The following is a 16,886-nucleotide window of genomic DNA, read 5'->3' on the forward strand; positions in this document are numbered from 1 at the left end:
AATATAATTCTGCACTACAAAAGTAAGTGCAATCATTTTCGAAATTGCCTAGAGATGTTTGAAATGTGCATTTTGCCCCTCATCTAACACAATTTTTCTACATAATTGACACAACACACTCAAATCTTTTCAAAAGGCAGAGTATCCTCTGACTCTTATTTTCTACCTTTATATTCTAGCACCTTCCTGAAATTTTTCTGTAGTTTAATGCTGGAATAACAGCACCTTTATGGCAACCATTTAATAATATTTGCTTCCTTTCTGTAGGTGAGCAATAACTCTAATTAGAGTCAGCCATAAAAAATAACACACCTAGTGGTATAGAGTGCAAGGGAAATTAGACTTGATAGGCATGAAGATATTACACTCAAAGAAAAGACTTTAATAAAATCTAAAATAACAGAGCATAGCCTTGGAAAGCTATCATAGAATTCAGGGGTAGTAGTGCTAGAAATTACTTGGTCTACCCTCCATGTTTTACTGAGGAAAAAACTAAACACCCAGAGAGCAAGCCGCCTGTGTGAGTTCTGATTAATGAGAGTCAAGTATTCCAATTGTTCTTCATATTCTAAAAATTGCCCACAGCACGGAAGAATCGCTGAATACACTCTATGCTCACGATACAAAACTAAGCTGCTATTTTTAACTCACATTCTGTGGCCGGAGCCTTCACCTCTGGGGGTGCTCATAGGAGAGTTATAGATTCCGGGACTGTTGACAGTTGGCTCCACACCAACATTAGAGGCAAAGACCAAGCGGGCATTGGGTCCCCTGTGGTGCCTGCAGTGAGATCAAAAAGGGGCAGCAGTATGAAAGATCACTGACTAATAATTGAATTTAAAGTGTTGGCAGCAATGAAAGACGCTTTCCCGCCAAGGGCTTCAGATATGAGCAAGCAAGTGTTTAGGCCATTTCACTGTGAAACCCCCCCACTCCCAGCCCCAAGTGTGCTGGAGTACCCTGTTTTTATCCTTACTTCACAGGGTACAGTGGCAACTCAGTGTAGGTTCAGGGATATTTTAAGCTAGAAGAGGAGGGAAAGGAGGAAATCATAGGGATAAGGGACGCAGTAATAGGATCGAAAATTTGTAATTCCATATGGGATAGGAGACTGTTGGAATTGGGGTACTAGAGGGAGTCAGCTAAAGATATAAAAAGTAGTGGTCAGAGAATGGGATATTTGAAACTGAGATTATAGAGGAGTAAGGGTTTTTAGTAATCATGAGGTCAGATTTTGATTATAGCAGTAAATAACTGAGGTAGGTGAAGCATATGGAGGAGTTCAAAGAATAAAGAGGGCTAGGCGTGGGAAGAATCACCTATGCAGATATTGAAATTGCTAGGAATTCATTAAAAAATACTGTTTATTCACTGATAATTGTTGGCCAAATGGGAGTGGAAAATGTTGATTTTTCTAATTCCACCATTCCTTCCATTTTTATTAGCTTGAATTATCCTGTGAAGAACTTTGGATATTGTGATGAATGCTGAGCAGGATGACTACTAAAGTCTGTCTTTTTACTTATCAATTTTCAAAGAAATTGGTTCTATAGTTAGTTCAAATTGTGACAATGACTAGTTTTTTTTTTGGAGGGGGGTGCAGTAAACTTTGCAGGTAGGGGCAGGGAGCTAGCTCTTTCTGTTAGTGTCAGTGTGAATTTATAGTTTTTCTAGTCAATATCTTTGGTTCAATTGCAGCTGTGACTTTTTTTCTTTTTTTTTTCTTCATTCAACAATATTTATTAAGTCTCTTCTTCATGCAAGCCACAGTGCTGGGTGCTGGAGTCACAGAAGTGAACCTGACTAACCATGTCATGCACTAAACATGGGTGCCTACTTCTGAATTGTATATTACACATCTGAGACATTTCACATTCTAGACACTGGGAGAAGCCATTCCAATGCACAATAACCCTGTCGATAATAGACTCCTGGCAACTGAGGCTTGCTGTTAAACCAATGATATCATAAATTCCAATCCTCAAAAAAAAAAAAAAAAAAGTCCTCAAAAATGTCCTGGCCATACTGCCCAAAGTAATTTATACATTCAATGCTATCTCTCCATCAACCTACCATTGACTTTCTGCACAGATTTAGAAAAAAACTACTTTAAATTTCATATGGATCCAAAAAAGAGCCCATATAGCCAAGACAATCCTGAGCAAAAAGAACAAAGCTGGAGGCATCATGCTACCTGATTTCAAACTATACTACAAGGCTACAGTAACCAAAACAGCATGGCACTGGTACCAAAACAAATATATAGACCAGTGGAACAGAACAGAGGCCTCAGAAATAACACCACACATCTACAACCATCTGATCTTTGACAAACCTGACAAAAACAAGCAATGGAGAAAGGATTCCCTATTTAATAAATGGTGTTATGAAAACTGGTTAGCCATATGCAGAAAACTGAAACTGGACCCCTTCCTTACACCTTTTACAAAAATTAACTCAAGATGGATTAAAGACTTAAACCTAAGACGTAAAACCATGAAAATCCTAGAAGAAAACCTAGGCAATACCATTCAGGACATAGGCATGGGCAAAGACTTCATGACTAAAACACCAAAAGCAATGGCAACAAAAGCCAAAATTGACAAATGGGATTTAATTAAAATAAAGAGCTTCTGCACAACAAAAGAAACCATCATCAGAGTGAACAGTCAACCTACAGAATGGGAGAAAATTTTTGCAATCTATTCATCTGACAAAGGGCTAATATCCAGAATCTACAAAGAACTTAAACAAATTTACAAGAAAAAAACAACCCCATCAAAAAGTGGGTGATGGATATGAACAGACACTTCTCAAAAGAAGACATTTATGCAGCCAACGAACATACAAAAAAAGCTCATCACTGGTCATTAGGGAAATGCAAATAAAAACCATGATGAGATGCCATCTCATGCCAGTTAGAATGGTGATCATTAAAAAGTCAGGAAACAACAGATGCTGGCAAGGATGTGGAGAAATAGGAATGCTTTTACACTGTTGGTGGGAGTGTAAATTAGTTCAACCATTGTGGAAGACAGTGTGGCAATTCCTCAAGGATCTAGAAGCAGAAATACCATTTGACCTAGCAATCACATTACTGGGTATATACCCAATGGATTATAAATCATTCTACTATAAAGACCCATGCACACATATGTTTACTGTGGCACTGTTCGCAATAGCAAAGACTTGGAACCAACCCAAATGCCCATCAATGATAGACTGGATAAAGAAATTGTGGCACATATATACCATGGAATACTATGCAATCATAAAAAAGGATGAGTTCATGTCCTTTGCAGGGACATGGATGAAGCTGGAAACCATCATTCTCAGCAAATTAATGCAGGAACAGAAAACCAAATACCACATGTTCTCACTCATAAGTGGGAGTTGAACAAAGAAAACACATGGACACAGGGAGGGGAACATCACACCCTGGGGCCTGTCGGGGGGTGATGGGGCTAGGGGACGGATAGCATTAGGAGAAACACCTAATGTAGATCATGGGTTGATGGGTGCAGCAAACCACCATGGCCCATGTATACCTATGTAACAAACCTGCACATTCTCCACATGTATCCCAGAACTTAAAGTATAATTAAAAAAAAAAAAAGTTGAGCTAAGATGGAACATTTCAAAGTCAGCTTTAGTTATGTTCTTTGGGAATTTCCAAGAGTGCTTATTCTCTGTTGACTATTCTAAGCTTCCGTGACCATGGAGCACTTTTTGGCAGAGCATTTAGGAGGGTTCTAGTTATGAGAAATTTATCTTTGGAAACAGTCTTTTCATGTCCTCCCAGGGTTCAACCATTTGTGATTCGAATGTTTCCTTGGCTCCTGTGGGTAAAATTTTCCTGCCCTGAGAATTGAAATTCTCATGGAAACTTTTCTACCATGTTTGTCTTCTTGCGTTTATCAGAATGAGCCAATCCATAATAGATATCAGTCAGCACAGCAGTTTTAGATACATCCAAATATTATTTCAAAGTTACAGAATTGAACATTCAGGTAGGTCAAATAATTTACCCAAGATCACATCATTTTACTTTTTGCCATCTGTGAATATAAGAGTTGCTCCATTGAAAGTCTTCCCAATTTCGACCAGGCGCGGCGGCTCACGCTTGTAATCCCAGCACTTTGGGAGGCCGAGGCAGGTTGATCACGAGGTCAGGAGATCGAGACCATCCTGGCTAACACGGTGAAACCCCGTCTCTACTAAAAATACAAAAAATTAGCCGGGCGTGGCAGCAGGCGCCTGTAGTCCCAGCTACTCAGGAGGCTGAGGCAGGAGAATGGCGTGAACCCGGGAGGCGGAGCTTGCAGTGAGCCCAGATGGTGCCACTGCACTCCAGCCTGGGTGACAGAGCGAGACTCCGTCTCAAAAAAAAAAAAAAAAAGTCTTCCCAATTTCTTTCCTGAGGTCTTTCAGAGCATCCTAGTGGGAAGTGCCTCTTTCCATTTTACAACAGAGCAGGTCTGACCTGGAGGCCTGAGTATTTTTGTGCAAACTCAACAAAAGCAATGCTCATTCTTGAAAACTTTTTGATCTCACAAAGGAGCTCTGAGGAGAAGGTGGCTTTTTTGCTTGTTTGTTTTTTAACTTTTCTTGCTTTTGCATCTTGAGTAATGCATAAACTGAAATACCAAAGAGGAGAAGAGAAATAGCAGAAAAGTCTATTTCTGAATAACGAACCCACTTTTTTCCACAGCCCCATTGCTGAGACTTGTAGACCGGGGAAGATTTCACCTGTGTGATGGAAAATGTAAATCTGAAAGAAGAGTTCTCCTTCACTCCTGCTCGGTGGGAGGCCCTTCCCATGGACCCTTCTTCCCTGGCAGAGAGAGGGAGAGCCAGAAACATGGCCTTTTAACTTTGTTATCAGCAGTTGGGAGGCTATGGTGAGTTTTGGTTTGGTTTTCAAATGAGTAATTACCATCTCTCTAGGCAGGTCAGAGAGAAAGCTGCTTGGGAGTAGGGGAGGGACAGATCAGACATGTTGTCACTACTTCCCAAAGGGCTTGGAAGTCCATCAAAACTATTACATTTTCTTAATTTTCCCATGTTTGGCAAGGGGGAGCTGCTTCATATTGGCTTCTGTTCCTTTTATGACATGACTTTATTAATCTTTGAAAGTCTTCTTGCTTTTTGCCGCAAGATGTCCTAGGGTTATATATTTCTTATCCCTTACTTAGAGTCATCCATTCCTTTAAACTTCAACTTTATTTCATTTAAAATGTTATGTATTGGCAAAAGTTGACAAATGGGTTCTAATTAAACTAAAGAGCTTCTGCACAGCAAAAGAAACTATCATCAGAGTGAACAGACAATCTACAGAATGGGAGAAAATTTTTGCAATCTCTCCATCTGACAAAGGTCTAATATCCAGAGTCTATAAGGTACTTAAATTTACAAGAAAAACAAACAAACAACCCCACTAAAAGTGGCCATGAACAGACACTTTTCAAAAGAAAACATTCATGTGGCCAACAAACTTATGAAAAAAAGTTCAACATCACTGATCATTAGAGAAATGCAAATCAAAACCACAATGAGATACCATCTCACACCAGAATATCATCAGAATGGCCATTATTAAAAGTCAAGAAACAACAGATACTGGCAACATTCCAAAGAAAAAGGAACACTTTTACACTGTTGGTGAGAGTGTAAGTTAGTTCAACCATTGTGGAAGACAGTGTGTTAACTCCTCAAAGATCCAGAAGCTGAAATACCATTTGACCCAGCAATCCCATTACTGGGTATATACCCAAAGGAATATAAATCATTCTATTATAGAGATACATGCATGCATATGTTCATTGCATCACCATTCACAATAGTAAAGACATGGAATCAACCTAAATGCCCATTAATGATAGACTGAATAAAGAAAATGTGGTGCATATACACTGGGGAATACTATACAGCCACAAAAAAGAATGAGATCATGTCCTTTGCAGGGACATGGATGCAGATGCAAGCAATTATCCTCAGGAAACTAATGCAGGAACAGAAGACCAAACGCCACATGTTCTCATTTATAGGTGTGAGCTGAACCATGAGAAAACATGGACATTTGGAGAGGCATAACACACACTGGGGCCTATAGGTTGGTTACAGGAGAGCATCAGGAAGAATCGCTAATGCATGCTAGGCTTAATACTTAAGTGATTGAATGACCTGTGCAGCAAACCACCATGGCACATGTTTACCTATGTAACAAACCTGCACATCCTGCACATGTACCCTGGAACTTAAAAAAGTTGAAGAAAAAAATGAAAAAAAGTTATTTATTGACACAATACTATGGAAGCTCATGAATATGAGGCTATCATTACTTCTAGAATTTTTATGTGGTCAGATTGGAAATAAATACTTATGAAGATAAAAATCATATATTCATCTACAATTCAAATTTAACATCTCAAAAATTTTGCTTAGACTGGGTGCAGTGGCTTACACCTATAATCTCAGCACTTTAAGAGCCTGAGGCAGGAGGATCACTCGAGCTCAGAAGTTCAAGACCAGCCGTGGCAACATAACAAGACTCTTATCTTTAAAAAGAAAGAAACAGAAAAAGAAAAAAAAATTGCTTATGTTTTTTGAACTTGTATTTGTTTCTTTTTTTGATTACACCAAATATCTCAGTTCCTAGCAATATTAACAAAAAAAATTTTGTGTTTTATCTCACCAGGTATATATGATTATTTTTAAATAATTTTACCAATATTACTACTAACAGTGAAGTTGAATGAAGTTTTAGAATTCTTTCCACGTCTATGTCTTTTTTTTTTATTATTATACTTTAAGTTTTAGGGTACATGGGCACAATGTGCAGGTTAGTTACCTATGTATACATGCGCCATGCTGGTGTGCTGCACCCATTAACTCATCATTTAGCATTAGGTATATCTCCCAAAGCTATCCCTCCCCCCTCCTCCCACCCCACAACAGTCCCCAGAGTGTGATGTTCCCCTTCCTGTGTCCATGTGTTCTCATTGTTCAATTCCCACCTATTAGTGAGAATATGCAGTGTTTGGTTTTTTGTTCTTGTGATAGTTTACTGAGAATGATGATTTCCAATTTCATCCATGTCCCTACAAAGGACATGAACTCATCATTTTTTATGGCTGCATAGCATTCCATGGTGTATATGTGCCACATTTTCTTAATCCAGTCTATCATTGTTGGACATTTGGGTTGGTTCCAAGTCCTTGCTATTGTGAATAGTGCCGCAATAAACATAATGTGTGCATGTGTCTTTATAGCAGTATGATTTATAGTCCTTTGGGTATATACCCAGTAATGGCATGGCTGCGTCAAATGGTGTTTCTAGTTCTAGATCCCTGAGGAATTGCCACACTGACTTCCACAATGGTTGAACTGGTTTACAGTCCCACCAACAGTGTAAAAGTGTTCCTATTTCTCCACATCCTCTCCAGCACCTGTTGTTTCCTGACTTTTTAATGATTGCCATTCTAACTGGTGTGAGATGGTATCTCATTGTGGTTTTGATTTGCATTTCTCTGATGGCCAGTGATGGTGAGCATTTTTTCATGTGTTTTTTGGCTGCATAAATGTCTTCTTTTGAGAAGTGTGTCTGTTCATGTCCTTTGCCCACTTTTTGATGGGTTTGTTTGGTTTTTTCTTGTAAATTTGTTTGAGTTCATTATAGATTCTGGATATTAGCGTTTTGTCAGATGAGTAGGTTGCGAAAATTTTCTCCCATTCTGTAGGTTGCCTGTTCACTCTCATGGTAGTTTCTTTTGCTGTGCAGAAGCTCTTTAGTTTAATTAGATCCTATTTGTCAATTTTGGCTTTTGTTGCCATTGCTTCTGGTGTTTTAGACATGAAGTCCTTGCCCATGCCTATGTCCTGAATGGTAATGCCTAGGTTTTCTTCTAGGGTTTTTACAGTTTTAGGTCTAACATTTAAGTCTTTAATCCATCTTGAATTAATTTTGGTATACGGTGTAAGGAAGGGATCCAGTTTCAGCTTTCTACATATGGCTAGCCAGTTTTCACAGCACCATTTATTAAATAGGGAATCCTTTACCCATTGCTTGTTTTTCTCAGGTTTATCAAAGATCAGATAGTTGTAGATATGCGGGCTCTGTTCTGTTCCATTGATCTATATCTCTGTTTTGGTAACAGTACCATGCTGTTTTGGTTACTGTAGCCTTGTAGTATAGTTTGAAGTCAGGTAGCATGATGCCTCCAGCTTTGTTCTTTTGGCTTAGGATTGACTTCACGATGTGGGCTCTTTTTTGGTTCCGTATGAACTTTAAAGCAGTTTTTCCCAATTCTGTGAAGAAAGTCATTGGTAGCTTGATGGGGATAGCATTGAATCTATAAATTACCTTGGGCAGTATGGCCATTTTCACGATATTGATTCTTCCTACCCATGAGCATGGAATGTTCTTCCATCTGATTGTATCCTCTTTTATTTCATTGAGCAGTGGTTTGTAGTTCTCCTTGAAAAGGTCCTTCACATCCCTTGTAAGTTGGATTCCTAGGTATTTTATTCTCTTTGAAGCAATTGTGAATGGGAGTTCACTCATGATTTGGCTCTCTGTTTGTCTGTTATTGGTGTATAAGAATGCTTGTGATTTTTGTACATTGATTTTGTATCCTGAGACTTTGCTGAAGTTGCTTATCAGCTTAAGGAGATTTTGGGCTGAGACAATGGGGTTTTCTAGATATACAATCATGTCGCCTGCAAACAGGGACAATTTGACTTCCTCTTTTCCTAATTGAATACCCTTTATTTCCTTCTCCTGCCTAATTGCCCTGGCCAGAACTTCCAACACTATGTTGAATAGGAGTGGTGAGAGAGGGCATCCCTGTCTTGTGCCAGTTTTCAAAGGGAATGCTTCCAGTTTTTGCCCATGCAGTATGATATTGGCTGTGGGTCTGTCATAGATAGCTCTTATTATTTTGAGATACGTCCAATCAATACCTAATTTATTGAGAATTTTTAGCATGAAGGGTTGTTGAATTTTGTCAAAGGCCTTTTCTGCATCTATTGAGATAATCATGTGGTTTTTGTCTTTGGTTCTGTTTATATGCTGGATTACATTTATTGATTTGCATATATTGAACCAGCCTTGCATTCCAGGGATGAAGCCAACTTGATCATGGTGGACAAGCTTTTTGATGTGCTGCTGGATTCAGTTTGCCAGTATTTTATTGAGGATTTTTGCATCAATGTTCATCAAGGATATTGGTCTAAAATTCTCTTTTTTGGTTGTGTCTCTGCCAGGCTTTGGTATCAGGATGATGCTGGCCTCATAAAATGAGTTAGGGAGGATTCCCTCTTTTTCTATTGATTGGAATAGTTTCAGAAGGAATGGTAACAGTTCCTCCTTGTACCTCTGGTAGAATTTGGCTGTGAATCCATCTGGTCCTGGATTCTTTGGTTGGTAAGCTATTGATTATTGCCACAATTTCAGAGTCTGTTATTGGTCTATTCAGAGATTCAACTTCTTCCTTGTTTAGTCTTGGGGGGGTGTATGTGTTGAGGAATTTATCCATTTCTTCTAGATTTTCTAGTTTATTTGCGTAGAGGTGTTTGTAGTATTCTCTGATGGTAGTTTGTATTTCTGTGGGAACGGTGGTGATATCTCCTTTATCATTTTTTATTGCATCTATTTGATGCCTCTCTCTTTTCTTCTTTATTAGTCTTGTTAGCAGTGTATCAATTTTTTTGATCCTGTCAAAAAATGAGCTCCTGGATTCATTAATTTTTTGAAGGGTTTTTTGTGTCTCTATTTCCTTCAGTTCTGCTCTGATTTTAGTTCTTTCTTGCCTTATGCTAGCTTTTGAATGTGTTTGCTCTTGCTTCTCTAGTTCTTTTAATTGTGATGTTAGGGTGTCAATTTTGGATCTTTCCAGCTTTCTCTGGTGGGCATTCAGTGCTATTAATTTCCCTCTACACACTGCTTTGAATGCATCCCAGAGATTCTGGTATGTTGTGTCTTTGTTCTCGTTGGTTTCAAAGAACATCTTAATTTCCACCTTCACTTCATTATTTACCCAGTAGTCATTCAGGAGCAGGTTATTCAGTTTCCATGTAGTTGAGCAGTTTTGAGTGAGTTTCTTAATCCTGAGTTCTAGTTTGATTGCACTGTGGTCTGACAGACAGTTTGTTATAATTTCTGATCTTTTACATTTGCTGAGGAGAGCTTTACTTCCAACTATGTGGTCAATTTTGGAATAGGTGTGGTGTAGTGCTGAAAAAATGTCTATTCTGTTGATTTGGGGTGGAGAGTTCTATAGATGTCTGTTAGGTCCGCTTGGTGCAGAGCTGAGTTCAATTCCTTGGTATCCTTGTTAACTTCCTGTCTCGCTGATCTGTCTAATGTTGACAGTGGGGTGTTAAAGTCCCCCACTATTATTGTGTGGGAGTCTAAGTCTCTTTGTAGGTCACTCAGGACTTGCTTTATGAATCTGGGTGCTCCTGTATCGGGTGCATATATATTTAGGATAGTTAGCTCTTCTTGTTGAATTGATCCCTTTACCATTATGTAATGGCCTTCTTTGTCTCTTTTGATCTTTGTTGGTTTAAAGTCTGTTTTATCAGAGACTAGGATTGCAACCCCTGCCTTTTTTTGGTTTCCATTTGCTTGGTAGATCTTCCTCCATCCTTTTATTTTGAGCCTATGTGTGTCTCTGCACGTGAGATGGGTTTCCTGAATACAGCACACTGATGGGTCTTGACTCTTTATCCAATTTGCCAGTCTGTGTCTTTTAATTGGAGCATTTAGTCCATTTACATTTAAAGTTAATATGTTATGTGTGAATTTGATCCTGTCATTATGATGTTAGCTGGTTATTTGGCTCATTAGTTGATGCAGTTTCTTCCTAGCCTCGATGGTCTTTACAATTTGGCATGATTTTGCAGTGGCTGGTACCGGTTGTTCCTTTCCATGTTTAGTGCTTCCTTCAGGAGCTCTTTTAGGGGAGGCCTGATGGTGACAAAATCTCTCAGCATTTGCTTGTCTGTAAAGTATTTTATTTCTCCTTCACTTATGAAGCTTAGTTTGGCTGGATATGAAATTCTGGGTTGAAAATTCTTTTCTTTAAGAATGTTGAATATTGGCGCCCCCCCTCTCCTGGCTTGTAGAGTTTCTGCCGAGAGATCCTCTGTTAGTCTGATGGTCTTCCCTTTGTGGGTAACCCGACCTTTCTCTCTGGCTGCCCTTAACATTTTTTCCTTCATTTCAACTTTGGTGAATCTGACAATTATGTGTCTTGGAGTTGCTCTTCTCGAGGAGTATCTTTGTGGCATTCTCTGTATTTCCTGTATCTGAATGTTGGCCTGCCTTGCTAGATTGGGGAAGTTCTCCTGGATAATACCCTGCAGATTGTTTTCCAACTTGGTTCCATTCTCCCCGTCACTTTCAGGTACACCAATCCGACATAGATTTGGTCTTTTCACATAGTCCCATATTTCTTGGAGGCTTTGTTTGTTTCTTTTTATTCTTTTTTCTCTAAACGTCCCTTCTCACTTCATGTCATTCGTTTCATCTTCCATCACTGATACCCTTTCTTCCAGTTGATCACATCGGCTCCTGAGGCTTCTGCATTCTTCACGTAGTTCTCGAGCCTTGGCTTTCAGCCCCATCAGCTCCTTTAAGCACCTCTCTGAATTGGTTATTCTAGTTATACATTCATGTAAACTTTTTTCAAAGTTTTCAACTTCTTTGCCTTTGGTTTGAATTTCCTCCTGTAGCTCGGAGTAGTTTGATCGTCTGAAGCCTTCTTCTCTCAACTCGCCAAAGTCATTCTCCATCCAGCTTTGTTCCGTTGCTGGTGAGGAGCTGCGTTCCTTTGGAGGAGGAGAGGCACTCTGCTTTTTAGAGTTTCCAGTTTTTCTGCTCTGTTTTTTCCCCATCTTTGTGGTTTTATCTACTTTTGGTCTTTGATGATGGTGATGTGCACATGCGTTTTTGGTGTGGATGTGCTTTCTGTTTGTTAGTTTTCCTTCTAACAGACAGGACCCTCAGCTGCAGGTCTGTTGGGGTTTGCTAGAGGTCCACTCCAGACCCTGTTTGCCTGGGTACCAGCAGCGGTGGCTGCAGAACAGCGGATTTTCATGAACCGTGAATGCTGCTGTCTGATCATTCCTCTGGAAGTTTTGTCTCAGAGGAGTACCCGGCTGTGTGAGGTGTCAGTCTGCCCCTACTGGGGGGGTGCCTCCCAGTTAGGCTGCTTGGGGGTCAGGGGTCAGGGACCCACTGGAGGAAGCAGTCTGTCTGTTCTCAGATCTCCAGCTGCATGCTGGGAGAACCACTGCTCTCTTCAAAGCTTTCAGACAGGGACATTTAAGCCTGCAGAAGTTACTGCTGTCTTTTTGTTTGTCTGTGCCCTGCCCCCAGAGGTGGAGCCTACAGAGGCAGGCAGGCCTCCTTGAGCTGTGATGGGCTCCACCCACTTCGAACTTCCTGGCTGCTTTGTTTACCTAAGCAAGCCTGGGCAATGGTGGGTGCCCCTCCCCCAGCCTTGCTGCTGCCTTGCAGTTTGATCTCAGACTGCTGTGCTAGTAATCAGCGAGACTCCGTGGGCATAGGACCCTCCGAGCCATGTGCGGGATATAATCTCCTGGTGCGCTGTTTTTTAAGCCCATCAGAAAAGCGCAGTATTCGGGTGGGAGTGACCCGATTTTCCAGGTGCCGTGTGTCACCCCTTTGTTTGACTAGGAAAGGGAACTCCCTGACCCCTTGCACTTCCCGAGTGAGGCAATGCCTCGCCCTGCTTTGGCTCCCGCACGGTGTGCTGCACCCACTGTCCTGCGCCCACTGTCTGGCACTCCCTAGTGAGATGAACCCAGTACCTCAGATGGAAATGCAGAAATCACCCGTCTTCTGCACCGCTCACGCTGGGAGCTGTAGACCGGAGCTGTTCCTTTTCGGCCATCTTGACTTCCCCCCTCATGTCTATGTCTTTAAAATATGTGAGTGTAGAACATATATGTCTGTAGAATACACTTTGGATCTATAATCAAAATAAGTTCTGAAGTCACTTGAAATAATCCTTTGCTTTGAGTGATTTTTCTCCAACTTAAAATGCATTTAAACATTCATTTTTAGCATGTTTCCATTTTTAAGTGTTGCTTTTAAAAATTTTTATCTTGTGAGTGTGTACCTGAAGTTGAAGCTGTATTACAAAATATGTTCAGGTAAGTCTTACTTCCATCCCTGTCTTATCTACCTTGTTCCCTCCCTCCCTTATATGCCATTTATGTCCATTTTTCATTTACCCTTTCAGAATTTCCCTCTGCAAATATACACATATATTTGTATTTCTCCCCCTTTCCTGTACAAAAGTCTGCATGTCATATATATACTATTCATTTTTACCTTACTTTATTCATTTAATGTATCTTGGAAATCACACCACTTTAGGATATGGAAAATTTTCCTCATTTCTTTTTATGTCTACAGGGTATTCCACTGTGAGATGTATCATATCATTTGGATTGTAGGGTTTTTTCTTTGCTGTCATTACACATATAAGTAATTGTATTTATGTTTATATCTGTAATTGTATGTATATAAAATTCTTTACTCTATCACACAAATAAAACAATGGGTAACCTTTTGCTAATGTTGTTTTTACTTATACTAGTATATTCATGAATTATAGTCCTAGAAGTGGGAATGCTGACTCAAAGAGCAAATGAATATTGCAATTGAAAGAATATTGCCAAGCTTCTTTTCATATGGGGATATAACAATTTTTCATTTCTACCAGTGCCATTTGAGTTTGTCTATTTCATAACAGCCTTGCGAGCAGAATATTCTACCAAACATTTAGATTGCTGCCAAGATTATAGGTGAGAAATAGTATCTCAATATAGTTAGTTTTAATTTACATTTCTTCTATTAAAGTAAGTTTGAGCTTCTTTAAATAACTTTAAACATCATTAAACTCAATTTTTGCTTCTTCTAGTGAACTGCCTAGCATATCTTTTGCTCATTTTTCTATCACTGTTGGTCTCTCTATTTCCTGTTTTTAGTACCTTTTTTATATATTAGAAACAATAGCCCTTTGTCTTTAACATAAGCCATAAGGCACAAACATTTTCTTTACAATGTGTGATTTTTCTTTTACTTCATTTATGGCAATTTTCCATGCACTCTTGTTAAGTAGTCAAACATGTTGACCATTTCTTAAATGAGAGAGCCATGAAATTTTAGCAGTTTTCCTGATAATGATGATGAATTTTGAATAACTCATCCTATCTTACATAGGCACTATTATAAACAATAAATGATATCTGCAAAAAGGTGAACAACTTTAAAAGTTAGTGACTGTAATGGGATCGTCATCCTAACTAAATATCAATTCAACTCCACAGCTTTGACTTGATTCATGTTTTTATTCAGCCACACACCGTAAGAGTCATCAGTACCATTCCCCTAATTTTACCAGGGTGTAACAGAGGCTCAGAAAAGTGTGGTGGTGTACAGCATTCACCCACTGAGTCAGTAGACATGGCTCTAGGGCTGGAGCACAAGCCCTGAATTCTTTCTACTTTCACCCCTGGCCTAAGTTAGGGCTCACTGATTTCTGTTTTCACAAATCACCATGGTAATGATAAAGAATTATGTTCTCTTTCTTCTACTTCTTAATGAGCAAAACTTTTTTGTTGTTGTTGTTTTAATATTGTATCTCTTCTTTGGAAGCCTAGTAAGTATTTGGACTTTTTTTGTTTAAGGGAGAAAAAGCACAGTTGGGAATCCAAAGACAGCTTTTGCATCCCCTCACTGCACATCTCTCTCCCCACCTGCAGAGAATTGCCACTTAGATACCATCTTCCTCACCTCAACCTCTTGTAATGTTCCTCACTACCATGTTCCTTCCTCCAGCCTCTCACGGTGTGGTTAACTGTTTCCTCACAATCTCTTCATCTCTAAACTAGACATTTAAATGTAAGGAGTTTTCATCCTTTCTGCTAAAATTGAATCTTACCATATTGTTTATCTATATTATTATAACTTTTCATTCAGCCACATAAATCTTGCTCTCAATATTAATTCAATCATATATAAATATTGCTTTCAATAATTAATATGAACACTTTTTAGAACATGTTAAAAGCTGGAAAAGAAAAAGAAAGAAAGCAGTAAGAAGATAGGGTATTTATACTTTTATCTCTTCTAACCAATGATCAATCAATTCAATGATCCATGCTAGACACACACGCAGCTTCATCTTTCTGATGACTTGATACACCCATCCCAATGATCCCACTTTCTTTCTCAACAACATTTGTTTTAACTCCACTTTATCCAATTTTACTTTTTCTCATATTTTCTGATCCAGAATTGGCCAAATGAGTTAAAAAACCTAATATCAAATGCATCGATGATTTCTTTACAATGCAGTAAATATTACATGTTTTTAGTTAATAAAAAGGGCCAAAACTGCTTCACATGATCTCTTTACTACCTTCATCTTTAATATTTCATAAGGTTGCTTATTCACCACTTTCATAAATAACAAATCTATTCAAACAATGACTCATTATTATACAATTTCCTTAAGAATCATACTTTAATCTTAAGAAATCAACTATGTGTTTTGTTAAACATATTTGTGGTATTTATTTCATAACGTAGGAAAGTGTATTTTAGACAAATTCACCAAATCATTCATTGTATGAAAAAAGTGTCATAAAGTGCTACATTTAAGAAAATATACATGGCAAAACCCCGTCTCTACTAAAAATACAAAAGTTAGCTGGCCTGGACAACAAAGCGAGACTGTCTAAAAAAAAGAAAATTTACATCAGATTTTTTATTGCTATTGAAAATTCACTATACTGATCCTTCATAGGCTAAATTGTTAAAAGAATCCAAGACTAAAGCAATGAAAACCTTATTCCACATGGAAATATCACTGACCAAAGGAGGTTAGTAAAGAAGATCAAATTACGTCTACTGAGTCTTTCATAATTGAACATCTAAGTATTCAATAAATATTAACTAGCTAGCTCCAATTAATATCTTAAATTGTAGAATTACAAATCAAAGCACAAATTCTAGACAGTAAGAAACTTTAAAAAGACATTCATGGCAATTTTGCAGTATTGAGACATTTTCACAAGTCATCGAACCTTCAGAATATTTTTGAACCTGTAATGTCTTGCCTCTCTCTAGGTTGTCAGATGATAAGTTTCTTCTCCTCCTAGCTATTACTTTTTCTCAACTTAGTATCTCTTAAGGCTAAAAAAACTATTCAGAGCATCATACAAAGTTTCAAAATAAAATATGTTTTACCTAAAATATTCAGCCCCTTGAATCAAGATTGGCTATTTCCTGGAATTTTCCTATTACCTCCACTTTTCACTCTATTTTGCTTCTGTAATCATATCTTTAACACATACAAAATCTAACATGTCTTGCAACTAATGCAGAAATTTTATAAATCCATGGGTGGTATGGGGGATTGAATTGTATTCCTCAAAAAGATATGCCCAAATCCTAATCTTGGTACCTGTGAATGTAACCTTATTTGAGTATAGGGTCTTTGCATAGGTAATGAAAAGGATCTTCAGATGGGATCATCCTGGATTTAAAGAGGGTCCTACATTCAATAGCTAGTGTTCATATAAGAAAAGAAGAGATTTGAGACATGCACCCAGAGAAGAAGGTGGCGTGAAGGTAGAGCAGAGGTCAGAATGGTGAGTCTACAAGCCAAGGAACCAAGACTGCCAGCAGCCGCCAGAAGCTAGGAGAGAGGCAGGGAAACAGATGCTCCTTCTGGGCTTCTAGAAGGAACCAACCCTACCAAACACCTTAATTTTGAGCTTCTAATCTCCAGAACTATCAGAGAATAAGTTCCTGTTATTTTTTTTCTTTTCTTTTCTTTTTTTTT

The 16,886-nt window shown here is 38.6% G+C and overlaps 1 long non-coding RNA gene across 1 annotated transcript in view; it reads right to left on the reverse strand.

Annotated features, from left to right (window-relative positions):
• Window positions 1–710: 710 nt before the first annotated feature.
• LOC105377510 (uncharacterized) overlaps window positions 711–16,886 on the reverse strand; it is a 38,425-nt gene continuing 22,249 nt past the window's right edge. Inside the window, exon 3 of the long non-coding RNA XR_939403.2 lies at window positions 711–780. This is a non-coding gene — a long non-coding RNA (uncharacterized LOC105377510). The remainder of the gene's footprint in view (window positions 781–16,886) is intronic.

This window comes from Homo sapiens, chromosome 4 (assembly GCF_000001405.40).
Source record: "Homo sapiens chromosome 4, GRCh38.p14 Primary Assembly".
Taxonomy (NCBI): Eukaryota; Metazoa; Chordata; class Mammalia; order Primates; family Hominidae; genus Homo; species Homo sapiens.